Raw genomic sequence first — 23,794 nt, 5'->3', positions numbered from 1 at the left:
GGTAACCAGGACAGTAGCACATGCCTGTAACCCCAACACTTCAGGAGGCTGAGGCAGGCGGATCACTTGAGGCTAGGAGTTTGAGACTAGCCCTGGCAGTATAGCAAGAACCCATCTCTACAAATAATTAAAAAAAAAAAAAAATTAAGCTGGGCATGGTGGCTGACGCCTGTAATCCCAGCATTTTGGGAGGCCGAGGCGCATGGATCAGTGGAGGTCAGGAGTTCAAGACCAGACTGGCCAACATGGTGAAACCCCATCTCCACTAAAAATACAAAAATTAGCCAGGTGTGGTGGCATACGCCTTTAATCACAGCTACTTGGGAGGCTGAGACACAAGAATCACTTGAGCCGGGCGCGGTGGCTCACGCCTGTAAAGCTTGTAATCCCAGCACTTTGGGAGGCCGAGGCGGATGGATCACAAGGTCATGACATCGAGACCTCCTGGCTAACACAGTGAAACCCCGTCTCTACTAAAAATACAAAAATTAGCCGGGTGTGGTGGCGGGCGCCTGTAGTCCCAGCTACTCGGGAGGCTGAGGCAGGAGAATGGCGTGAACCCGGGAGGCGGAGCTTGCAGTGAGCCGAGATCACACCACTGCACTCCAGCCTGGGTGATATAGAGCGAGACTCCGTCTCAAAAAAAAAAAAAAAAAAAAATCACTTGAAACTGGGAGGCGGAGGTTGCAGTGAGTCAAGATCGCGCCACTGCATTACAGCCTGAGAGACAGAGTGAGACTCCATCTCCAAAAAAAAAAAAAATGTAGGAAGCATGACCAGAACACCTACTCACTAGGTCTTGACCCTGACTTTCCCCTTCCCTGCCCTATCGTGAGGCAGAGAGTGAGAAGCTACATATCTTTAAAAATCGAATACCTTTATTTGTGCTCCCTTAAGCAGCATGTGAGAAGTGGCAGTGACCTCAGCAGCAGGCCTGGTATCTTTGCCCTGTTGAGAAGCCAAGATCTCAGCTGTACTAGTCAGGTGTTTTTTCAGACAGCAAGTAGAAGAGGTGGTGGCCAACTCCAGTGCTGTATCCTGGAGGAGGTCCGGGTCAGCACTGGGCAAGGTAGGTAGCTAGCTGCCTGACCCCTAGTCTGGGGTTGGAACTTCTGTTTGCCTGAGTAAAGGGATGTCAGTCCTAAGATTTCTCCACATTGTGTCTTTCTTCTGCAGTGGTAAAAAGGCTGGTCCTTGAATTGTCCTGCATGGTACCCTAAGGCAGGCCCACTGGCTCTTTTTGATCAAGGATTCTGAGAAAAGCTGCCCTTGGAGGCCCTTGAAATAACATAGGGAGCAGAATGAGTGCTCGAGTCGTGGCTGACACAGTCCAGCTCACACTGCCATCACAGAGGCTGAGTGAGCAGTCACCCAGGGAGGGGGCTCCCAGCTCATTCCATTCCCATGGGGCAAGTGACTAGAAGGTAAGAGCACCCGAGTAAGCCAGTGCCTAGAAGAGAAGAGAGAAATGTCTCTGAGTTCAAGAATTCTTGGTCCTTCCCAATCATCATTCCTTAACAAGCATACATCAAGGTATCCTGAAGCTACCTCGGTGTCAATCATGAAAGTAACAAAAGTTCTAATTTCTGCTACCCAATTTTATCCAACAAATGTACCTTTTGGTCCTTTGAAGGCCTTTTAAGGTTTCGAGCTAAACTTCTAAAGGTCCACTGTAAGCACAGTGATAGGAGTGTCATGTACATGGGAAAGGGAGGAGGGAAGGCACGTCTGTTCATCTGATTGTTACCGCCTCAGTAACTGCCATTTGAAAAATTGTTTCCCCTTGTCTTGGGCTGAGAGAGCTAGCTCCAGTTACTGTCTTAGGGCCTCTATGACAAGTAGATTATTTTAATCTCACAAATTATTGGCTTGAACTCTAGACACTGCTCTCCAAGTGAGAGGTGACTGGTGGCCACCATATCCTACACCCAGAGGCCCCTTCCTGAGCACAGCTTTCCTAGGATTCCACTGTAGTCACGTTGAAGCCTCATCTGTTACTTAAAACCACACAGTATTGGCCTCAAGCCTTTCTGGTTCAAATGGACAATGATCTCTATTCCTAGAGTCTAGAACTGTGCTAACACAGTAGCCACTAGCCATATTCCAAGTGCTCACAGGCATAGAACATCTTTCTCATCACAGTGTTCTGTTGGACAGCATTAGTCTGTGTGTCTTACATTACCTTCCTGTATCCACACCCAGGAATACCTTCCAGTTGTCCAAGCAGCCGTAGTTGTAAGGATTCCTAAATACCTGGAGCCAAGAAAAACATGTTTCTTTGAACTTCTAATTTTTCAGACTAAATTGGCTAAGCTAAAGCTCAGATAGAGTAGTTCTGGCCTTTTACAATGCTTGCCCTAGTCAGCCCTGCCCATGGCCTCTGTTTACAGGAGAGCAAGTTCAGTTACCCACCTACCCACCCCGAGCCTTCAACCCTACTCACTCTGCCCTTGGCCTGTAGCCGACGTCTCTCCTTCTTGTTGATGTGCCTTTCGATGCTAGTCTCACCTCGACTGATGAGAACAGCATGCCATACAGTTAGGGCACCCAGGGCAAGTGCCACAGAACTAAGAAAAGAGGGGCGAAGACTGGTGGGTAGTTTAGAGAGGGCTGGAGGAAGTATGTCTGAAATTGAGCTAAGCAGTAACAACTGGTTTGGAACCTCTCTACCTAAGTCTTCCTCACCTCCCACCATATATCCTAGATAAACTTTTACTTCACTATGTCTATAAAGAGCATCAATGAAAAAGCATCAAAGTGGCCTAAGAATAAATGATGTGAAGCCAGGCATGGTAGCTCATGCCTAGTAGTCCCAGCAACTCAGGAGACTGAGATAGGAAGATCATTTGAGTCTAGCCTGGGCAACATAGCAAGACTCCATCTCTGTTGTTGTTAAGGGAAAAGAGAGTATGTGGAAAGGAGAATAGAGAAATAAGTCTGTATTGCTGAGAAAATGTTCTATATTTCCTAAAATACCCATGCTTGGGAGATAGTGGGAAGTAGTAAACACCCAGGGTTGGAATGGGATGGCATGAAATTCAAATTCCAGTGCTAATATTCCTACTAGCTGTGTATCATAGAACAAGTCACTTCACTTCACTGCCCCTTGGCCCCCAATTTTCAGTTTTCCTCATCTATAAATACAGTCACCCAGCCTTTAGACAGGTGCTAAGATTAAATAAGGAGTTTAACTTACTTTGGTTACATATCAAGCACATACTTGTATCTGTGTGCTTAGTAATAAGCAATGCCAATATCCTCAGTGCTCCCTGCCCTGAATGCTGAAGAAAGTGCTGGCTCTCTGCCAACCTAAGTTAGACTAGAGCAGTGGCAGTTCACTTAGGAATGGGTTTCTGCCTGCGTGTGGGCACCTAAAAAACTTTTTTTCTGAAGCTTCCCCTCCCTTAAAACTATCAAAAACAAATACCTGCACAGGAACCAGAGGTAGACAAGACTCTTGTGAGTCATCCTTTCTCGAAAGGAGAAGGTGGGTGGTGGGGTCTGGTGATAAGTCTAGAAAAAGAAAACAGCAAAGCTGGCTCATTTGCTCTGTGGGTCTCCAGCAACTGCCCCCAGCACCTATAGGCAGGAAATGATCCAAATCCAGGCAGAGAAAACAGGGTAAAGCCACAGAGGAGTTAGGGTAGCAGCCAAGATGGGTGGACCAAGCCCAGCGGCATCACCACATGGACAAACACTGGGCAGCAGAGCAGGGTCTGGACAGGATGGTGAAGCACAGGAGAAGCTGACCCTGGGCCTGTAGAGTGACAACACAAATGGGGCTCCAGGGGAAGCCACTCCAATCCCCAGCCAGAACTCCTTCACTGCACAGCTGCATCCCCAAGAGAGGAGACCAGACCATACCCAGAATGGACTGACTGGAGTGGGGAAAACCACTAGGGACTGTGAGCTCCACTAGGGACTGTGAAAGGGCAGCAGAAATACAATCAAGATGGGCTCAGCAGATTAGGGAGTCCTAAAAGGTACTGGGGGGGCAGGGATGATCCAGATGCAGATGGACCAGGAGCAAGGGATGATCAGACTGGCTCTGCCTGATCTCTGTCCCCTGGAACCCCATTACACAGACTAACATAGACTCCTTGCTGCTCAGGCCATCACCAAGGCAGATTGCTTGCTCGACCCAAAGAGAGGTGATGACGGGATAGATAGCCAAAACTGTCACATACCAGGGACTTCCAGCTTGCCTGTAGGCCACTTAGTCTACCCACCACAGCCAGCCTGCCTGAACACTCCTGATCTGGTCTAGAGTGGCCTCTCGGCAGCCTCTACAACTACATGGGCAGGTCGGCCCCAGATGCCTTAGCAACTCTATACCCCCAGGCCTGAGCAGCAGGAGGCAGTGGGGTGGGGACAGCCCACCTGGTTGGCAACCGCCTGTAGTTTGTTCTTGTCGAGCTGTTTCATTTTCTAAGGGGACGGAAAACAGTGCTGGTTATACTCTCAGGCCTCTAGGATGGGGTGCTACCAGCCCCATTCCTTAGGGACAGGTTCTACATCCCGAAGTTCTGCACTACTGAGCTGCCCTGTTCCTGATGAGCTCACCTCAATGGCAGCATAAGCCTCCCGGAAAAGGTCCCAACTTCCATAGCTGCAGTAGACACAGCCCAGAGTCATGAAAAAGCAGAAAGAGAAGAAGTACCGATGGTTATAGTGGCCCACACAATTGTTTAGCCAGGCTGGTTGGGAAATGATTAAGGACTAGAATCAAACACAATTTCAGGCGGTGTCCAGGCCCCTCAGGTTCATCCCTGGTTCCTGACAATATCACCCAAGCCTCAGGCTTCCAGTCACTAAGAACTACTTTCCAAAGGCAAGAAAATACAAGACTGTTCACACCCAAGGTTGAGGTGAAAATGCTCAAAGCTTTTCAGAGCATTCAGGTCCCACCAAGAAGTCACGGAAACTGAAATCCTTCAGTAAAATGAATCTGCCAATATTTCAGCCTAGCTGGAGTTAGCCAAACATCTGTGTGGAACAGCAGCTGGAGACCCACGGTTCTATCTGGCGTACACAGTAAACAACCACAGAAGCCCAAACATCTCTTTCCATCCAATAGCTGTTAGCATGAGAGTCTAGAAAAGAAAGAGGTGTTAAAAGATTCCCTGCTCCAAGAAGATCCGTCCTAGAGTGTGAGCTTCCTGCTCTCCCAGGAGATGGTCAGGCCCCACAACTCCTCAACTCCAGTGTTCTCTGCACGGTGATGCTAAAATGGTGGCCATTAACCCTGTACAGTGCTCTGGAGCTAAAGAAGGCCTCAGGCAGAAGAGAAAGCAAAAGGATACGGCAGTGGTGATCCATCTTCAGCACACACCTGTGAGGAAGGGACACAGGCTCTGTTACGGTGGCCAAAGTTCTTGAGATGTCAGTGCCAATCCTTCCCTACAAGGACCAGCATCCTGCTGAGGTGGAAAGGGCACAGACTTTGAAGACAGCCAGGCCTTGCTTCAAACCCAGCTCTGCAGTTTAATGGCTATAAGATATTGGACAAGGTAACTCATCTCTCCAAACCTCGGTTTTCACAAGTGGTAATAATGCCTAACTCACAGGACCATCCTAAGGATGAGGTGTCAGGAGAAGAGGGCACATCACCTGGGACACGATGGGTGATTCACCCATGTCTTAGCAAACTCAAGGTTAGGTTTTGCCCTAGGGCTACAGAAGGACCACAGCTGGGATTCCCAGAGAGCAAAGCCAAGACCCACCTGTTGCAGATGCTGCAGTGGTGTGTTCGGGCTGGCTTGGGGTAAATGCACTTCTTACAGATGGAGACGGTGGCGATATCATTCCTGCCCTGTGTGAAGGGAGAGCATAACGTGGCAGCACCAGTTCTGTCTCTCAAAACTATACCAAGATACTCTCCCCACTCCTGGGACCAGCTCCCATAGCCAGCAACTTCCCCCAGTGCTCCTGTGAGGACCCACCTGGGGTGGGTACCCAGGCGGAGTGGTGATGGCCTGGTAGTAGTGGAAGACAATCAGGATCAGATTCCAGTGGCTATAGAAGAAATGCCAGCAGAGTCGTGGCACTGAGTAGGTTCGGAGGATGAGAGGCAGGACACACAGGTAGGCGATAGCTACAATGGAGCCTGTCAGCACGATCACCAGGACCACGAACACCTGCCAACACCAGCAAGGTCAGGGAGACATGGCGCAAGAGCTATGCCCAAAGGAGACTCGGAGTTTCCCTGGGGGTGGGGGCCGGCCTCCAAAACCTGGGTTGGGTCTGTGAGAGACATGTCCCTCTGCTCCCCACAACACCCCTTTTCCTGCTCCCTGGACATCACTCACCACTCCAAACCAGCGGATCACGTTGTCTACCAGCCAGTAGACAGGCTCAAAGGCAGCATCAACAGCGGTGTCACTGCCCCCAAAGGAGTTGTAGAGCAGGGAGCGCAGGCAGACCTTGCCGTAGCGCCAGCGCTGTACTAGACCCCGGAGTAGAGGTGGACAGCGGCGCCTGTAACCCAGCAGCAGAAGGAGGCGGAGGCAGAGGCGGGCCGGGCCCAGCAGCAGGCTCCGCTGGCCTCGCATGGTTCCTACGAGAGCACACCATTGTGAGGATCTAGTCTGAGCCCTCCCTCCCTACCCCGCTAGTGGGAAGGCCTAGAGTACTCACTTGGAGGGCAAAGACCTAAGACTAAGACCCAGCTAGGCCAGTCACCAACTGTGAGAAGTAGGAAGGTTACTTCACTTTTCTACGGACTGACCAGTGCCAATGTTCCAACCAGATTAAGGGAGTAAAACTGATGGTTCTGAGCCTGCAGAAATTGTACTTAAATTACACCACATGGTTGCATAGCAAATCCAAGGTGATGCACACCTAAAGCAACAGGCCACAGGAAAGGGGTGAGAAAGGCCACTCCAAATCAAAGCAGTCTTAGGAGTTGTCTGTGTAGACAGACTTTTGGGTGGAGTGTGGCCAACATGGACAAAGCTGTCCACTGTGTCTCTGGGCATGGCCACTGTAGCAGAGATTGCCAGGGCTTCCTGACTGCCCTAGTGCATCAACCTACCTTCAGATGATTATTCCTCACCAAAGAACAGCCAATGGAAGAATGAGTACACAGAATGTGGATCCTGTACCGAGGTATTTCCTGGTGCTATTTAAGTCTTGGCAAAAGATACTCTTCTTCCTACTCCCTCTGGGCTGATGTCACAGGCTAGCCAACTCAACCTGGTAGCAGGAGATTCCCTGTCTCCTGTCAGGACAGCCAGCTACCCCTTGCATGACAGAAAATGCTTTGTCTCCAATTCCATTCCCAGCCCCACCCCAAGGAAATGGTAGCCAAGACAACTCCAGGTATTCTGAGCAGAACACAGGAAGGAGTCAATGGGAGGGGACCTCCATGTTGATTCATGAAGGCCTCGGGTCCTGACCTCTCTGATGGACTCCACTGCCCCAGTCTAATTAGACATTTAAGAACCTTCTCTGCAGCTGCTGCCTTAGCCCCAAGATACCCAACCAGACTTCCCAGTTCACTGCTTCTATGGCACCTCTGCCAGTGCCTCCATCTCCTCTATGCAGTTTCTACCTCATGCAACAGCCATGGGAAGAGATCGGCTGCCTGGGCAATGACCAGAACAGAAGACACAGATGCGCTAACAGATTCCTTCGATGACAGTTTCATCAGTTCTGCAGATTAAAGACTTTCACCAGAAAAAAAAATTACCTGATTTTGCCCTGAGGCAGCCAGGGAGGGCTTTGTCCTTGACAATCCCACTGACTTATTTAACAGGTAGCTCAAAACCCAACAGAAACTGGAGGAGGCTGCTCCACTGCAGGGATGGTTTCAATTCGGTAACTGGAGTATTGTACTCTCCTTGCACCCTGGCTCATCCCCACAAAAGACCTTTCAAAGAAAACACTTAATTACCTCCTTGCACAAGCCCTGTAAGCCCTAAGGTGAAAAGAAACTCAGCAGACAAGGTCCACAGAGAAGGAGAAGGCACAATTCAGTAGGGACCTACGCTCAGCACCAGGATAAAGAAACTGTCCATTCCTGCCACCTCCTAGGAAGCTAAAAGAATTAAGGGGAGGCCGGGCACGGTGGCTCACGCCTGTAATCCCAGCACTTTGGGAGGCCGAGGCGGGTGGATCATGAGGTCAGGAGATCGAGACCATCCTGGCTAACAAGGTGAAACCCCGTCTCTACTAAAAATACAAAAAATTAGCCGGGCGCGGTGGCGGGCGCCTGTAGTCCCAGCTACTCGGGAGGCTGAGGCAGGAGAATGGCGTGAACCCGGGAAGCGGAGCTTGCAGTGAGCCGAGATTGCGCCACTGCAGTCCGCAGTCCGGCCTGGGCGACAGAGCGAGACTCCGTCTCAAAAAAAAAAAAAAAAAAAAAGAATTAAGGGGAGTGTAGAAAAGAGAAAAAAAGGCCGGGCGCAGTGGCTCACGCCTGTACTCCCAACACTTTGGGAAGCCGAGGCAGGCGGATCACTTGAGGTCAGGAGTTTGAGACCAGCCTGGCCAACGTGGTGAAACACTGTCTCTACTGGAAATGCAAAAAAATAGCTGGGCATGGTGGCGCGTGCCTGTAATCCCTGCTACTTGGGAGCCTGAGGCAGGAGAATCGCTGAAACCCGGGAGGTGGAGGTTGCAGTGAGCCAAGATCGCGCCAGTGCACTCCAGCCTGGGAGACAGAGTGAGACTCCACCTCAAAAAAAATTAAAAGCTCACGCTCAAACTTCCACCCCTATTGTTTGGAAGCATGATTTGGCTTGTAGCATGAATTTTTAAAATAGTAGACACCCACAATCAAATGTAAGAGTGGGACAAAACAGATTACCCCACAACAAATCTAGGTGGCTTTTGGACTGTCCACACTGCTGTTCATTCCCTTTCTATAGGTCATGGAGAGTTTCCTATTTGCCAAAATACTTTTTGTAGCAATGGCATGCAAATCCAATGCACTCCTTGTTTGTAATAAACTCGAATTATATACTACCTCACACCTCTTCTAGTCTTAAAAAAAAAAAAAACTTCTATTCTCCACTTTTCAGATCATTCTTAAACATGTCCTAAATTCTTCAGCGCTGCAGGAAATGTCTGCCTCAAAGACCAGATTTACCCAATTCTTTAGGGTTCAATTCTGTCCCTAAGCAGTTCCGTAACCTCAGACAAATCATTCAACTCTACTGGGACTCAATCTCCTTGTGTTCACATTCAGTGAGGGAGTAGGATTAAATGCTAAGGTCCCTTCCAGCTCTAACCTTTTATGATTCTGTAACTATACAGATACAGTCAACCCCCATATCTGCGGAGGGATTGGTTCCAGTCCTCCCTTCAGATACCAAAATCCATGGATGCTCAAATCTGATATAAAATGGCATAGTGTTTGCATATAACCTATACGTATCTTCCCATATACTTTAAATCATTTCTAGATTACTCATAATACCTAATACAAAGTAAATGCTACACATAAACACTTTTTTTGTTTGTTTTTGAGATGAAGTCTCGCTCTGTTGCCCAGGCTGTAGTGCAGTGGCAAGATCTCGGCTCACTGCAACCTCCGCCTTCTGGGTTCAAGCAATTCTCCCTGCCTCAGCCTCCCAAGTAGCTGGGATTACAGGCACCTGCCACCTCGCCCAGCAAATGTTTGTATTTTTAGTAGAGACGGGGTTTCGCAATGTTGGCCAGGCTGGTCTTGAACTCCTGACCTCAGGTGATCTGTCTGCCTTGGCCTCCCAAAGTGCTGGGATTACAGGTGTGAGCGAACCACCATGCCCAGCTGCCCCCAAATATTTCCAATCCATGGTTGGATTGGATCAGCAATGTGAAACCCACAGGTATGAAGAGCAAACTTCTTTGGTAAGTGTAAATGAAATGTTTATAAAGCACTTAGCACAATACCCGGCTCATGGAAGTACTCAATAAATATTTGTTGAATGAATGACCTGGAGGGATGCAGAAGTGGAAAGCCTGGCCAGATGTCTATCTGTCCTACAAATACCAGCAAGGACACTCCTGCCAATGTGGTAACACTAAATAAGTGTCTGCTGTTATCATTCTTCCTGATTCATAAAGAGAGAAATACAAACTGTTATTAAAATCATGGCACTTAGGAGCTAGAAGTCGTTTTTGAAAACAAGCCCAACCAGAAATCAGCCCAACCGTGTAAACAGAAAGCTCCTAGACGCACAGATACAGATTTGGGTGAACAAAGTCTGAGGCTAGGGCCTCTCTCCATTAGCTAATGGGGTATGGGATGCCAGGAAAATTACATATGTAGTAAGTGGGCCGCAACTGAACACACAGACTTTTCTTTTTTTTTTTTTTTGAGATGGAGTTTCACTCTTGTTGCCCAGGCTGGAGTGCAATGGCACAATCTGGGCTCACCACAACCTCCGCCTCCTGGGTTCAAGCAATTCTCCTGCCTCAGCCTCCTGAGTGGCTGGGATTCCAGGCATGTGCCACCACGCCTGGCTAATTTTGTATTTTTTTAGTAGAGACCGGGTTTCTCCATGTTGGTCAGGCTGGTCTCAAACTCCCGACCTCAGGTGATGTGCTTGCCTCAGCCTCCCAAAGTGCTGGGATTGCAGGCGTGAGCCACCGCACCTGGCCCAGACTTTTCATCTCAAGAAATAGAAGTAAAGCAAAATTCAAAAAGATGTGTGTAGGGGAGAAGGGGCTAATCTCAGTGAACGGGAGGAAACAGAGCAAAGCGCAGCTTTACTACCACCCCAAGCACAAGCCCGAGTACTCTGATCCTTCAGTAATAGTCACAGGCCATACTGGTCATCTGCCACCAGACTGGAGGAGATTGCTGGCCACAACACTCCCCTCTTCCCATGGCTTTAAGTCACATCTGTTTCCCAATGGGAAAGTCGACTGAGGGGACAGGGAAGGACAGACGGCAAAGCCATCAGAAGTCAGGTGAACTGAGATCAAAGTCGTGGCGAATGTCATCTGGACAAAGACGCTGCTCTCAGGATGTTTGCAATCTCAAGTAGGAGATACCCAACATCAATAAAGAGTAGCATTTTATTCATGTGCAGACCTCCCTTCTGGGCTAACACGCTGAGAAGAAAAAGAGTAACAACTTTATTTTGGGGCTGCTTATCTTTTGATGACGGGCCCACACAACCAGAGTTCGGCTTTTTCAACCAGAGAAAGCTTACTGAAGTGGGGATGAGGGGCCGCGAAGAGGATCGGACCGCAGGACTGGAAGCTGCAGTTTAAAAAACCGGGAAAAGGCCGGAGGCAGTGGCTCATGCCTGTACTCCCTGCACTTTGGAAGGCCGAGGCGGGCGGATCAAGAGATCAAGACCATCCTGGCTAACATGGTGAAACCCCGTCACTACTAAAACTACAAAAATTAGCTGGGCGTGGTGGCGCGCGCCTGTAAGTCCCAGCTGCGCGGGAGGCTGAGGCAGGAGAATCGCTTGATGCCGGGAGGCGGAGGTTGCAGTGAACAGAGATCGCTCCACTGCACTCCAGCCTGGCGACAGAGCGAGACTCCTCAAAAACAAAACAAAAAAACCGGGAAAAGGTTTTATTTCTCAATGACAGCCGCGAGGTGAAACTGCGATGGACTGGAAGTCAAAAACCGTGGGTTCCAGTTTGGGCTCTATCTTAACTATCTTGATCATTTTGGACAAGTCAAACCCTGTCTCTGAATCTGAGGTTCCATATCTGTGAAACAGACGAGTTGGGTCGCTTGACCTCCTTCCCTCCTGCTCTGAGCGTAACGATTGCTCGGAAGGTGCGCTCGGGCTGAGGAGGGCACGGCCCCGCAGGGCGGGGCGAGGAGAGAGCAGGAACCCGCACTCAAGACAAGGCCCCAGGGCAGTGCCCTACCCAGAAAAAGGGACTAGGATGGGGAGCAAGGGCCGAGGCTTCGCCCTTACCTGCCGCCTGCCGACTCCCCAGTCAGCCAAACCGAGCCCCGTAGCCTCTGCCGCCGCTCACTGCCACCCCCTCCGACTCGGCGCCCCGGCCGGGCCCGGCTCAATCCAAACCACCATGGCCCGCCGCCCGCAGCGCCAGGCAGCGGACCCGGACCCGCCGCCAGCCCATCCTCAACCACACGCGCAGGCGCCAGCGTGGACCTCTGAAGTTCCGCCCCCGGATTTGTCCCGGGGTAACCTGGGAAATGGAGTTTACTCGCAAGGATAAAGAGTACCAATTGACACGTGTCTTACTGCGGAACTGTGCCTGGGTTTGGCCAATGAGAAATCGACTTCGTTTTCATCCTGGTTTTGGGACAGCGGCAATCATGGCGCCACCTGTGAGATACTGCATCCCCGGTAAGTGAGCGCTTCCCGTACAGAGTCCTGGATAGGGGCTGAAGCAAGAAGGCTAAACGGCCTACAGCTTCTGGGGGCCCGTGACCGATGCAGCATTTTTTCTGCAGGCGAACGTCTGTGTAACTTGGAGGAGGGCAGCCCGGGCAGCGGCACCTACACCCGCCACGGCTACATCTTTTCGTCGCTTGCCGGCTGTCTGATGAAGAGCAGCGAGAATGGCGCGGTAAAGGAAGCGGCATGCCATCTCCCCTCTGTTTTTCCCTTAGGCTGCCCTTGAGTTCCAGTCCTTAGGCATGGGCACTGCGGACGCGTCTTTAGTGCCTCAGTGGTACAATGTTGGTCTCTTAGTTTCTTCTAGCCGTATCGCCGCTGTGGTGCACTTAGCCACCACACACTAGTTGTGTTGATCTCGCTTGGTTGTGCTGCTGACCCTCGGGGAGGGAAGTTGGGACAAAAGCAGATGCGAACTCAGTATCCCATCCCAGCCCAGCTCAGCCCAGCAGTGAGTTGCATACTGTATGAATGTTGCTTACCTTTCCGACTTTATCTAGCGCCACTATCTCCACCTCACTGACGCAATCTAGTCATACTGTCTTTTCTGTGTTTAAAAGTTATAATCACAGTCTCTGCTTGCCCTTTAAAAATTTTTTATAACATACTAGCTTCTTTCAGTGTCGGTAATGCGCCAAGCTTTCTCCTGCTACAGAGCCTTTGTAACATGCCATCTATCTGGAACGCTTCTATCTTCCTAGGCCTATTTAATTCCTACCTCCTTTAGATAGCTTCTCTACTATCACCTCAGAGAAGTCCTTCTGGACCCACTAATTGAGGAAAGGAGTTTTGTGGGGTGTTTTGTTTTTGTTTGTTTTGTTAAAGACTCACAAAAAACTCTGTTCCTTTTCTTCCAAGCACTATGTCAGCATATGATGAGACACTCAGGTATATGTTTCCTACTAGACTTCTCCCCTGCTTAAATCTAAGTCCGTGAAAGCAGGCCCTACCACCATACCATCCGTATATAGCACAAGGCAGCTCCTCAATAAATGTTGAATGTGTGAGTAATACCTACCTTTCTAGTTTCAGAGATAGATCCAGGATTAGCTCAGGATCATATAAGCAATATTTGAAGGAGCACAATAGAAAGAGGATTCAGAATTAGAACAGTTACGTTCTGGCTAACTTGACTTTGATTCTGCTTTGAGTAAGTAACTTAAGCTGTCTGATTCAAGGGGCTTTCTATTCAGTCATTGTTGGGAATGTTCTTAACAGTCCTGAGTTTGTTCATTTCATAGATATCACTTGAGTATTTTCATGTGTCAGGCACAGCGCTGACTTGGTTTCTGCTATCAAAGGACACAGACACAAATTGTAAACAAATAAATGCTCAAATGAGCATATGGTTACATATGTGGTGGTGCTTTGAAAGAATATTACAGGGCACCTTGAGAACATGTAACAGGCAAACCCATCCTAGTCAGCAGAAGTGACATTTAAGCTGAATCATCTAAAGAGTAGGTAAGAGTCAGGTGGGTGGAGAGAGTGCAGCTCTGGCAGAAAGAATAGGTTGAAGAGAGATCTGAAAGTGGGAAGAATTTAGTAAGTTGGGGAAACTGAAAGAAGGCCAGGAGAGCTGAAGCATTGTGAGCAACGGAGAGATTGATAAAAGATGAGGCTCAAAATATCTGTCTTATACCAACAGCCAATACCATGCTCAAAGAGAAAACTCTGCAAGTATTCACTTAAAATAGAAGAAAACAAGCATAGCCGCTATTATGTAACATTTTTGTGGAAATTTCAGCCTGTGCAATAAAATAAGAAACAGAAGGAAGCAGTATAACTTTGGAGGAAAGAGTAAATTGTCGGCAGGGCGCAGTGGCTCACACCTGTAATCCCAGCACTTTGGGAAGCCAAGGCAGGTGGATCACCTGAGGTCAGGAGTTCGAGACCAGCCTGGCCAACATGGTGAAACCCCATCTCTACTAAAAATACAAAAAATTACCCGAGCATGGTGACAGGCTTCTGTAATCCCAGCTACTCGGGAGGCTGAGGCAGGAGAATCACTTGAACCCAGGAGGTGGAGGTTGCAGTGAACCAAGATGGCACCCTTGCACTCCATCCTAGGCAACAAGAGTGAAACTCCATTTCAAAAAAAAACAAAAAAAGTAAAATTGTCAATGATTATAGGCAATATAGTTGTATACCAAGAAATTCTGAGAGAATCACCAAAAAACTTATTAGAAGTTTAGAGATTTACTACAAAAAAAAGTAGCTGGGCATGGTGGCGGGTGCCTGTAGTCCCAGCTACTCGGGAGGCTGAGGCAGGAGAATGGCGTGAACCCGGGAAGTGGACCTTGCAGTGAGCCGAGATCGTGCCACTGCACTCCAGTCTAGGCGACAGAGCAAGACTCCGTCTCCAACAACAAAAAAAGAAGTTTAGAGATGTATGTCTTCTAGCAGCATTCTGTAGCCTCCTGGTCCTCCTATTTCCTAAAATTTCTAAGGCCTTCTGCTCTGGGCTATAAATGAATCCATACTCCAACTCTCACCTTTATACCAAGACATTCCTATATTACTCTCAAGCCACAAATGCCTTGACCCAAGGGTTAGTCAGGACATTTCAGTTTTTTGTTGTTCCCTCTGTAGCTTCCAGTGGTGTCTGTAGTGAGAGAAACAGAGTCCCAGTTACTGCCAGATGTGGGAGCTATTGTAACCTGTAAGGTAAGTTGGTCCTGACCTCCATGCTTAGAATGCCCATTCAATACTGAAATCATGACCATACCAGAACTGCAGTGTCCAGTATGATAGCCACAAGCTACATAAATTTATTTCTGGCAGGGCACAGTGGCTCACACTGGTAATTCTAGCACTTTAAGAGGCCGAGGCAGGAGGATTGCTTCAGCCCAGAGTTCAAGACCAGCCTGGGAAACATAGTGAAACCTCATCTCTACAAAAAGAATCAAAAATTGCCGGGCATGGTGGCTCATGCTTGTAATCCCAGCACTTTGGGAGGCCGAGGTGGGCAGATCACCTGTGGTCAGGAGTTCAAGACCAGCCTGGCCAATCATGGCCAACATGGTGAAACCCTGTCTCTACCAAAAATACAAAAATTAGCTTAGCGTGGTGGTGCATGCCTGTAATCCCAGCTACTCGGGAGGCTGAGGCAGGAGAAGTGCTTGAACCCAGGAGGTGGAGGTTGCAGTGAGCCTGCGTCACAGCAGTCCAGCCTGGGCAACAGAGTGAGACTCCGTCTCAAAAAAAAAGAAGAAGAAGAATAAAAAATTAGCCAGGCATGGTAGCACATGCTTGTGGTCCCAACTACTTGGGAGGCTGAAGCAGGAAGATCGCTTGGGCCCAGGGGGTTGAGGCTGCAGTGAGCCATGATCACTCCAGCTTGGGTAACAGGGCAAGACTCTGTCTCTCAAGAAAAAAATAAAATTGATTTCCTTAGTCACATTAGCCACATTTCAAGTACTCAATAGCCACTTGTGGCTAGTGGTTGCTATACTGGTCAGCACATGACTTTTCTGTCATCACAGAAAGTTTTACTGGACTGTGCAGGCTTACAGATTTCTAGGATAATAATCAAGGCAGCCAAGTTCAGGCATGCATAGTTCCTTCACTGAGCTGATTCCCTGAATACATAGTTCTACCTGTGTCTGGGAAACAGGGATGCCAGAGGATGATTAGGAGGCCTATTTTTGAACATCTGAAGCTGAGTTCTTTTTCTGCAGAGAAGCAAAAGACTTTATTTTTTGCCATTCCTGTTTTTTTTTTTTTGAGACAGGGCCTTGCTCTGTCACCCAGGCTGGAGTGCAGTGGCACGATCTCGGCTCACTGCAGCCTCTGGCCTCTTGGGTTCAAGCAATTCTACTGCCTCTGCCTCCCGAGTAGCTGGGATTATAGGCATGTGCTGCCACGCCTGGCTAATTTTTGTATTTTTAGTACAGGTGGGGTTTTACCATGTTGGCCAGGCTGGTCCTGAACTCCTGACCTCAAGTGATGCGCCCACCTCAGCCTCCCAAAGTGCTGGGATTACAGGCATGAGCCACTGTGTCCAGCCTCTTTTTTTTTTTTTTTTTTAATTGTTAGCCATCTATACTTTAAAAAGTCTATACCTCTCTGAAGGGCAAGTTGTGAAAAGATTTAAAAAAAAAAAAAAAAACCCAGCCGGATGCAGTGGCTTACACCTGTAATCCCAGCACTTTGGGAGGCTGAAGCAGGCGAATCACCTGAGATCAGGAGTTCGAGACCAGCCTGACCAACATGGAGAAACCCTGTCTCTACTAGAAATACAAAATTAGCTGGGCATGGTGGTGCATGCCTGTAATCCCAGCTATTCAGGAGGCTAAGGCAGGAGAATTATTTGAACCCAGGAGGCGGAGGTTGCGGTGAGCCAAGATCGCGCCATTGCACTCCAGCCTGGGCAACAAGAGTGAAACTCCGTCTCAAAAAAAAAAAAAAAAAAAAACCCATACCACCTTTGTTTCCCATAGTAACTCTACCAGGTGGCCAGAGTGGCTCTTATTCCTCTTTACATGTGTCACTTACGCAGAGAGAAGTAGGAGTTAATTTGTCTTAAATTCTCTACTTAGTAGGGTTGCTTGCACTGAAGCCCTAGTAATCCCCAGTTTATTGCTGCCTCCTTGAGCTGACAACTGCTTATACTCTGATGCTGATCTTTTCTCTATTCCGCAGGTCTCTAGCATCAATTCACGCTTTGCCAAAGTACACATCCTGTATGTGGGGTCCATGCCTCTTAAGAACTCTTTTCGAGGAACTATCCGGTAAGAAGTATCCTTTTCACATATACCTTAGCAACTGGAATAAGATTAGGATAGACTAGGACACCAGAATTTTGAGCAACAGTTACAATTCCTATTTTTCTTTTGCCCGTTTTTCTTTCTTCTTTGTGCTTTGATTCTCCCCTAGTAGTATCCAAAAAATACATGGATGATCTAGGACAAAAGGAAAATATTAACGAGAGGGTTTAAAAGTAAAGCAAAGGCTGGGCGCGGTGGCTCACGCCTGTTATCCTAGCACTTTGAGAAGCTGAGGCGGGTGGATCTCTTGAGATCAGGAGTTTGAGACCAGCCTAGCCAACATGGTGAAACCCCATCTCTGTAAAAAATACAAAAATTAGCCAGGCACAGTGGCTCACACCTGTAATCCTATCACTTTGGGAGGCTGAGGTGGGTGGATCACAAAGTCAGGGGTTTGAGACCAGCCTGGCCAGTGTGGTGAAACCCTGTCTCTACTAAAAATACAAAAACTAGCCGGACATGTTGGCGTGTGCCTGTAATCCCAGCTGCTCAGGAGGCTGAAGCCAAAGAATCGCTTGAACCCAGGAGGCAGAGGTTGCAGTGAGCCAAGATTGCGCCATTGCACTCCAGCCTGGGGGACAGAGCGAGACTCTGTCTTTAAAAAAAAAAAAAAAAAAAATTAGCTGGGCATGGTGGTGCGTGCCTGTACTCCCAGCTACTTGTGGAGCTGAAGCAGGAAGATCACTTGAGCCTAGGAGGCAGAGGTTGCAGTGAGCTGAGATTGCACCACTGCACTCTAGCCTGGGCAACAGAGTGAGACCCTGTCTCAAAAAACAAATAAATAAATAAAAGGTAAAGCAAAAAGAATTGAGTGAAGCTGAAGTTTAGCAGTGTCAGGATGACTCAAACCAAAGTAGAAGGCAGGCTGGGCGTGGTGGCTCATGCCTGTAATCCCAGCACTTTGGGAGGCCGAGGCGGGCGGATCACCTGAGGTCGGGAGTTCGAGACCAGCCTGACCAACATGGAGAAACACCGTCTCTACTAAAAATACAAAATTAGCCAGGCGTGGTGGCACATGCCTATAATCCCAGCTACTAGGGAGGCTGAGGCAGGAGAATCACTTGAACCTGGGAGGCGGAGCTTGCGGTGAGCCAAGATCGTGCCATTGTACTCCAGCCTGGGCAACAAGAGTGAAACTCCGTCTCAAAAAAAAAAAAAAAAAAAGTAGAAGGCATTTTAGGAAGCACTTTAAAATTTAATATAGATTGAACTCAGAGGTTATAAAACATTGAAAAGATTTGTGGGTGAGATGGTGATTTCGTGTGGCTTCCTTGAGAAAGGACAAACATTTCTTGCCAGGCAGATAATCTAACTTTTGAGGCCCTTTCCAGCCTCAGGATTTGATGTGGTTCTGTAGTGCAGCAGTCCCCAACCTTTTTGGCACCAGGGACCAGTTTCTTGGAAGACAGTTTTTCCACAGACCATGGAGGGGGTGGTTGCAGAATGATTCAAGTGCATTACATTTATGGTGCACTTTATTTCTGTTATTATTACACTGTAATATATAATGAAATAATTATACAGCTCACCATAATATAGAATCAGCGGGAGCCCTGAGTTTGTTTCCCTGCAATTCGATGGTCCCATCTGGGGGTGATGGGAGACAGTGACAGATCATCAGGCATTAGATTCTCATAAGGAGTGGGCAGCCTAGCTCCCTCATATGTGCAGTTCACAATAGGGTTCATACTTCTATGAGAATCTAATGCCCACTTCGATCTGACAGGAGGCGGAGCTCAGGCAGTAATGTATGCGATTGGGAAGCAGCTGTAAATACAGATGAAGCTTGCCTGCCACTCACTTCCTTCTATGCAGCCCGGTTCCTCACAGGCCACCAGAAGTTGGGGGCCCTTGCTATAGTGCTTCTGTTCAAGCCCTGAGGCAACGAAATTCCTTATCCTTTCTTGCCAAATCCGATCTGCCTTTATCTAATCAGAGGTATTGATACTGCCTCTCCATGTGGTCTGAGGATGCTTCTCCACCCTGCTCCTCTGGGTAGCAGCTGTGTCCCATTTACAACTTGTTCTGTCTGTTCTTGTAGCTCTTTATTTACTAGGAATCTACAGAATAATTCTTTCTCACAGGCTGGGCAAGGTGACTCATGCCTGTAATCCCAGCACTTTGGGAAGCTGAGGCGGGTGGATCACCTGAGGTCAGGAGTTCAAGACCAGCCTGGCCAACATGGTGAAACCCCATCTCTACTAAAAATACAAAAAACTAGCTGGGCATGGCGGACGTGCCTGTAATTCCAGCTGCTTGAGAGGCTGAGGCACGAGAATTGCTTGAACCCAGGAGGCGGAGGTTGCAGTGAGCAAAATTGCGCCACTGTACTCCAGCCTGGGTGACAGAGGGAGACTCTGTCTCAAAAAAAAAAAAAAAAAAAATTCTTTCTCACAGGTAATTAATCTTTCTGTTAATTCTTTTTTTATAGCAAGGAAGATGTCCGAGCAACTGAAAAAGACAAGGTTGTTGGTTGGTTCTTTTTTTTTAATGGCTTTACGTATCTCAATCCCTTAAAAGTATTATCTCAGGCCAGGCATGGTCACACACACCCGTAATCCCAGTACTTTGGGAGGCTGAGGCGGGAGGATCACTTGAGTCCAGGACTTCAAGACCAGCCCTGGCAACATAGCGAGACCCTGTCTCTACAAAAATTTTAAAAATTCAAAAATTGGCCAGGCATGGTAGCTCATGCCTGTAGTCCCAGCTGCTTGAGAGGATGTGGCTGGAGGATTGCTTGAGCCCAGGAGTTTGAGGTTAAGTGGTGGCACGCACCTGTAGTCCTAGCTACTTGGGAGGCTGAGGCAGGAGGATCCCTTGGTCCAGCAGTCCAAGGCTGCAGTGAGCTACCATTGCATCACTGCACTCCAGCCTGGGTGACACAGTGGGATCCCACCTCTTAAAAAAAAAGAAAAAAGGGCCGGGTGCAGTGGATCACACCTGTAATCCCAGCTCTTTGGGAGGCCAAGGTGGGCGGATCACAAGGTCAGGAGTTCAAGACCAGCCTGACCAACATGGTGAAACCCCGTCTCTACTAAAAATATAAAAACTAGCCTGTGTCGTGCCATGCACCTATAATCCCAGCTACTCAGGAGGCTGAGGCAGGAGAATCGCTTGAACCCGGGAGGCAGAGGTTGCAGTGAGCCGAGATCGCACCACTGCACTCCAGTGTGGGCGACAGAGCGAGACTCCATCTCAAAAAAAAAAAATTTTCATTTGTATGATAATACTGTAGAAGCAATTAAAAGTTCTTGACTTGACATGAGTAATGATGATTTCTACCCTCCAGGATTAGAAAGTAGATTGGCTTTACCAGAAGCGTTCACAGTTTCATATAGACCCAGTCTAGAGCTTTCACTTAACATTCCTGTTCTTTCTTTACAGGTTGAAATTTATAAGAGTTTCCGCCCAGGTGACATTGTCTTGGCCAAAGTGGTATCCTTTATTCCCAGCAGACTTCTGGTCCTTTGTCAAAAGAAGAGAAGGAGGCCGGGTGTGGTGGCTCATGCCTGTAATCCCAGCACTTTCGGAGGCCAGGGCGGGTGGATCACCTGAGGTCAGGAGTTCGAGACCAGCCTGGACAACATGGTGAAACCCTGTCTCTACTAAAAATACAAAAATTAGCTGGGCGTGGTGGCACATGCCTGTAATCCCAGCTATTCGGGAAGCTGAGGCAGGAGAACCGCTTGAACCTGTGAGGCAGAGGTTGTGAACTGATATCACGCCACCGCACTCCAGCCTGGTTAACGGAGCAAGACTCCATCTCAGAAAAAAAAAAAGGTAGAAAAACAACTCAGGTGGCTAAGGTGGGGGAAGACTTCTAACTCCTCATTTTCCTTCACCGGTGTTATGTGACTAGATCTCCTTAGGTGATGCACAGTCCAACTACCTGCTAACCACCGCCGAGAACGAGCTGGGAGTGGTGGTAGCCCACAGTGAGTCAGGTGAGATGGCCTTGTTTCCACATCCTTACTTTCCCTGGATCTATGGTTTGGGATAAATCCATTGTTTTTCCTGGTTTCCCTTATCTGGGAAGCAGTATGGCTATAGATATTTCCCTCTGAGATTAGAATGATTATTTTTTTCTTTTTTGCTTGGTGCTGGTGGTGGTGGTTGTTTGAGACAGGGTCTCACTTTGTCGAGGAGGCTGGAGTGCAGTGGTGCCATCTCCACTCACCACAGCCTCCACCTCCTTGGTTCAAGCAATTCTTGTCACCCAAGTAGCTGGGATTACAGACACACGCCACCACACCTAGCTAATTTTTGTATTTTTAGTAGAGACAGGGTTTCGCCATGTTGGCCAGGCTGGTCTCAAACTCCTGGCCTCAAATGATCTGCCCGCCTTGGCCTCCCAAAGTGCTGGGATTACAGGTGTGAGCCACCACGCCCAGCCTGATTCTCCTTATATAAATCCAAGGAAACGGGACTCACTTCATAAGTCAGTAGAATGAACAAAGTTTTTTCTTTATGAGTTGAGGTTCAGTAGGAAGCTTGGTGGCACTTCAGCTTCATACCCAGCATAAAAGAGGAGTCGCAGGCAAATCTTTGGGGTCTGGGCTCCACCACCAGCTTTTCCCTTCCAGGTATCCAGATGGTTCCCATCAGCTGGTGTGAGATGCAGTGCCCTAAGACCCACACTAAAGAATTCCGGAAAGTAGCCCGAGTACAACCCGAATTCTTGCAGACCTAAGAAGCCACTTTTTACCCTATGGAAGGGGGTAAGCTGTTCCTGAGTATAACACCAAGATGCTGCTGTCTTTATTCAAACACCTGGCGTCGGCCAACAGCCACTTCCAGAAAAATCTTCCAGTTTACGCTGTAGATGGAACATGTTTCTGTGAACCTATCAGTGGATTTCATTCTCTTGAGTAATAAATCTTATCTTTTCAAGGCACCAACAAACAAAACTGTGATATTGGAAATAGCCTATCCCTCCTGACAGTCCTTATAAATACATATTTTTTGCTATGATAAAACTTTTTTACTAAAAGGATGTTATAGAGTCTGTTGTCTTAAGCAGAGAAAGACATCTAAATGGTGTCAGGACATTTCAGTACTTCTGCTTATTGAGTACTTACTGTGCTAGGCACTGAGTCAGGTGCTTTACATACGTCCCCTTCATTTAGGTACATTGTGATTTAATGAAAATTTGAGGACACGTGGTGATACAGATAGCATGTGAGGCAGGCATGGTGGCTCATGTTTGTAAATCCCAGCACTTTGGGAGGCCGAGTTGGGTTGAAGTCAGGAGTTTGAGACCAGCCTGGCCAACATGGTGAAACCCCATCTCTACTAAAAATACAAAAATTAGCCGGGCGTGGTGGCACATGCCTGTAATCCCAACTACTCAGGAAGCTGAGGCAGGAAGATCGCTTGAACCCTGGAGGCAGAGGTTGTAGTGAACCGAGATTGCACCACTGCACTCCAGCCTGGACAACAGAGCGAGACTCTGTCTCAAAATAAATAAATAAATAACATGTCTAAAAGTATTTGATACACATCACTGATATAGTGGGTACTCCAGGAAATGTTAAATCTGAATTGAAAAGTGGGACAGAGTACTGTCATATGAGGTGGCCAGGAAAGGATTAGTGACGTGAGATCAAAATAAATTAAAGAACATAAAAGTAAGTGAAGATATTCAAGGCAGAGAGACAAGCCCAGGCTAAATGCAGAAGCAGAAATGAAGGCGTAAGTTTGGGGATGAGGAAGGGATGAGAGTTAAGCATGGAGAGGTTGCCGACGAAATATGAGTCTGAGATGTCACTTCTTGAGATGTTATTCAGGAAGCCTGTGTCTTCAGTATTTAGTGACCGTGCGTAATGTGAGCTTTAGAATCAGCCCACCTTAGTTTCTATCCTCTACTTCCTAACCTTGAATATTAGGGTTTCTATAGTTGAAAATTTTAGAGATTGAGATCATTGTAGATCCACATCCAGGTTTTTGTTTTTATTCTTGTTTTTTTTTGAGACAGAGTCTCGCTGTCACCTAGGCTGGAGTGCAGTGGCGCGATCTCAACTCACTGCAGCCTCCACACCTTCCCAGTAGCTGGGACTACAGGCATGCGCCACCACGCCCAGCTAACCTTTGGTAGAGATGAGGTTTCACCATGTCGGCCAGGCTGGTCTTGAACTCCTGACCTCAGGTGATCCACTTGCCTTGGCCTCCCAAAGTGCTGGCCTCCCAAAGTGCTGGGCTTATAGGCATCAGCCACCATGCCTGGCCTTGGGTTTTTTGTTTTGTACATGCAATTTTTGAAGAGACAGGGCCTCAAAATGTCACCCAGGATGGAGTGCAGTGGTGCAGTCATAGCTCACTGTAGCCTCAAACTCCTGGGCTCAGGTGATTCCCCATCAATCCCCTGAGTAGCTGGGACTACAGGCATGTACCACCATGCCTGGCTAATTTTTCTTGTAGAGACCAGGTCTTGCTATGTTGCCTAGGCCAGTCTCGAATTCCTGGCCTCAAGTGATCCTCCTTCCTCAGCTTCCCAAAGTGCTGGGATTACAGGTGTGTACCACTGTGCTGGCCAAAATTACCAACTTCTGATCTAGAATTCTGCACAGGTTAGGAAAATAACATCCCACCAGGCTCTTGGAGACTGAAATTACTCAAAGTTATTGTGTAGGTCAAATGAAAATCTAAACTTGAAAAGCAAGATGCTTGAAAGTATTTAAATCTTTGGGTAAGAACCTTCATTTG

At 48.1% G+C, this 23,794-nt stretch overlaps 2 protein-coding genes across 30 annotated transcripts, besides 4 other annotated features; one reads left to right on the top strand and one right to left on the bottom strand.

Annotated features, from left to right (window-relative positions):
- Positions 1-856: 856 nt before the first annotated feature.
- On the bottom strand, positions 857-12,052 carry ZDHHC16 (zDHHC palmitoyltransferase 16). Of its 21 annotated transcripts, none has more exons than NM_198046.3 (12): positions 11,874-12,052; positions 7,691-7,870; positions 6,309-6,556; positions 5,943-6,137; positions 5,724-5,812; positions 5,304-5,332; positions 4,564-4,697; positions 4,381-4,428; positions 3,428-3,513; positions 2,444-2,567; positions 2,183-2,253; positions 857-1,450 (listed from the first exon to the last, which is right to left on the bottom strand). In NM_198046.3, exons 3-12 carry the CDS (start codon positions 6,549-6,551, stop codon positions 1,336-1,338), a joined length of 1,134 nt encoding a protein of 377 aa, NP_932163.1. In that variant the 5' UTR covers positions 6,552-6,556; positions 7,691-7,870; positions 11,874-12,052; the 3' UTR covers positions 857-1,335. The 21 variants fall into 21 exon arrangements, 20 of the variants coding, with proteins under 20 accessions (NP_932163.1, NP_001274732.1, XP_016872255.1 ...); NM_001287803.2 differs by having other exon boundaries at positions 2,444-2,513; XM_017016766.2 differs by lacking the exon at positions 4,381-4,428.
- Positions 11,791-12,000: a silencer, noted in NCBI's record as "silent region_2678". NCBI's record gives its function as "represses an Ori minimal core promoter by ATAC-STARR-seq in GM12878 lymphoblastoid cells {active_cell/tissue: GM12878}" and the evidence as "EXISTENCE:reporter gene assay evidence [ECO:0000049][PMID:35858748]".
- Positions 11,791-12,511: a biological region, named in NCBI's record as "H3K27ac hESC enhancer GRCh37_chr10:99205473-99206052".
- Positions 11,932-12,511: an enhancer, noted in NCBI's record as "H3K27ac hESC enhancer chr10:99205473-99206052 (GRCh37/hg19 assembly coordinates)". NCBI's record gives its function as "activates a minimal SCP1, AML or CMV promoter by ChIP-STARR-seq in naive and primed H9 embryonic stem cells {active_cell/tissue: H9 hESC(naive and primed)}" and the evidence as "EXISTENCE:reporter gene assay evidence [ECO:0000049][PMID:30033119]".
- On the top strand, positions 12,221-22,318 carry EXOSC1 (exosome component 1). 9 transcript variants are annotated; one of them, NM_001318365.2, is made up of 9 exons: positions 12,221-12,272; positions 12,380-12,495; positions 12,621-12,774; positions 14,916-14,990; positions 16,968-17,056; positions 19,524-19,564; positions 20,477-20,527; positions 20,952-21,036; positions 21,676-22,318. In NM_001318365.2, exons 5-9 carry the CDS (start codon positions 17,011-17,013, stop codon positions 21,780-21,782), a joined length of 330 nt encoding a protein of 109 aa, NP_001305294.1. In that variant the 5' UTR covers positions 12,221-12,272; positions 12,380-12,495; positions 12,621-12,774; positions 14,916-14,990; positions 16,968-17,010; the 3' UTR covers positions 21,783-22,318. The 9 variants fall into 9 exon arrangements, 7 of the variants coding, with proteins under 7 accessions (NP_001305294.1, NP_057130.1, NP_001305295.1 ...); NM_016046.5 differs by lacking the exon at positions 12,621-12,774 and having other exon boundaries at positions 19,524-19,557; NM_001318366.2 differs by lacking the exon at positions 12,621-12,774.
- Positions 12,512-13,092: an enhancer, noted in NCBI's record as "H3K27ac hESC enhancer chr10:99204892-99205472 (GRCh37/hg19 assembly coordinates)". NCBI's record gives its function as "activates a minimal SCP1, AML or CMV promoter by ChIP-STARR-seq in primed H9 embryonic stem cells {active_cell/tissue: H9 hESC(primed)}" and the evidence as "EXISTENCE:reporter gene assay evidence [ECO:0000049][PMID:30033119]".
- Positions 22,319-23,794: the final 1,476 nt, after the last annotated feature.

This window comes from Homo sapiens, chromosome 10 (assembly GCF_000001405.40).
Source record: "Homo sapiens chromosome 10, GRCh38.p14 Primary Assembly".
Taxonomy (NCBI): Eukaryota; Metazoa; Chordata; class Mammalia; order Primates; family Hominidae; genus Homo; species Homo sapiens.
The sequence above is the reverse complement of the archived record's forward strand: the minus strand, read 5'-3'. Positions and strand labels throughout refer to the sequence as shown.

What these genes read in the sequence shown, in the direction of transcription:
- ZDHHC16 (NM_198046.3), bottom strand. Translation starts at nt 6,551, where the DNA reads ATGCGAGGCCAGCGGAGCCTGCTGCTGGGCCCGGCCCGCCTCTGCCTC. An exon ending in CGCCTGGGTACCCACCCCAG is followed by an intron (nt 5,813 to 5,942) that starts GTGGGTCCTCAC and finishes CCCTTCACACAG; the next exon opens with GGCAGGAATGATATCGCCAC. An exon ending in TACCTCTGGTTCCTGTGCAG is followed by an intron (nt 2,568 to 3,427) that starts GTATTTGTTTTT and finishes CTCTTTTCTTAG; the next exon opens with TTCTGTGGCACTTGCCCTGG.
- EXOSC1 (NM_016046.5), top strand. Translation starts at nt 12,242, where the DNA reads ATGGCGCCACCTGTGAGATACTGCATCCCCG. An exon ending in TGTGAGATACTGCATCCCCG is followed by an intron (nt 12,273 to 12,379) that starts GTAAGTGAGCGC and finishes TTTTTTCTGCAG; the next exon opens with GCGAACGTCTGTGTAACTTG. An exon ending in AGAGCAGCGAGAATGGCGCG is followed by an intron (nt 12,496 to 14,915) that starts GTAAAGGAAGCG and finishes TTCCCTCTGTAG; the next exon opens with CTTCCAGTGGTGTCTGTAGT.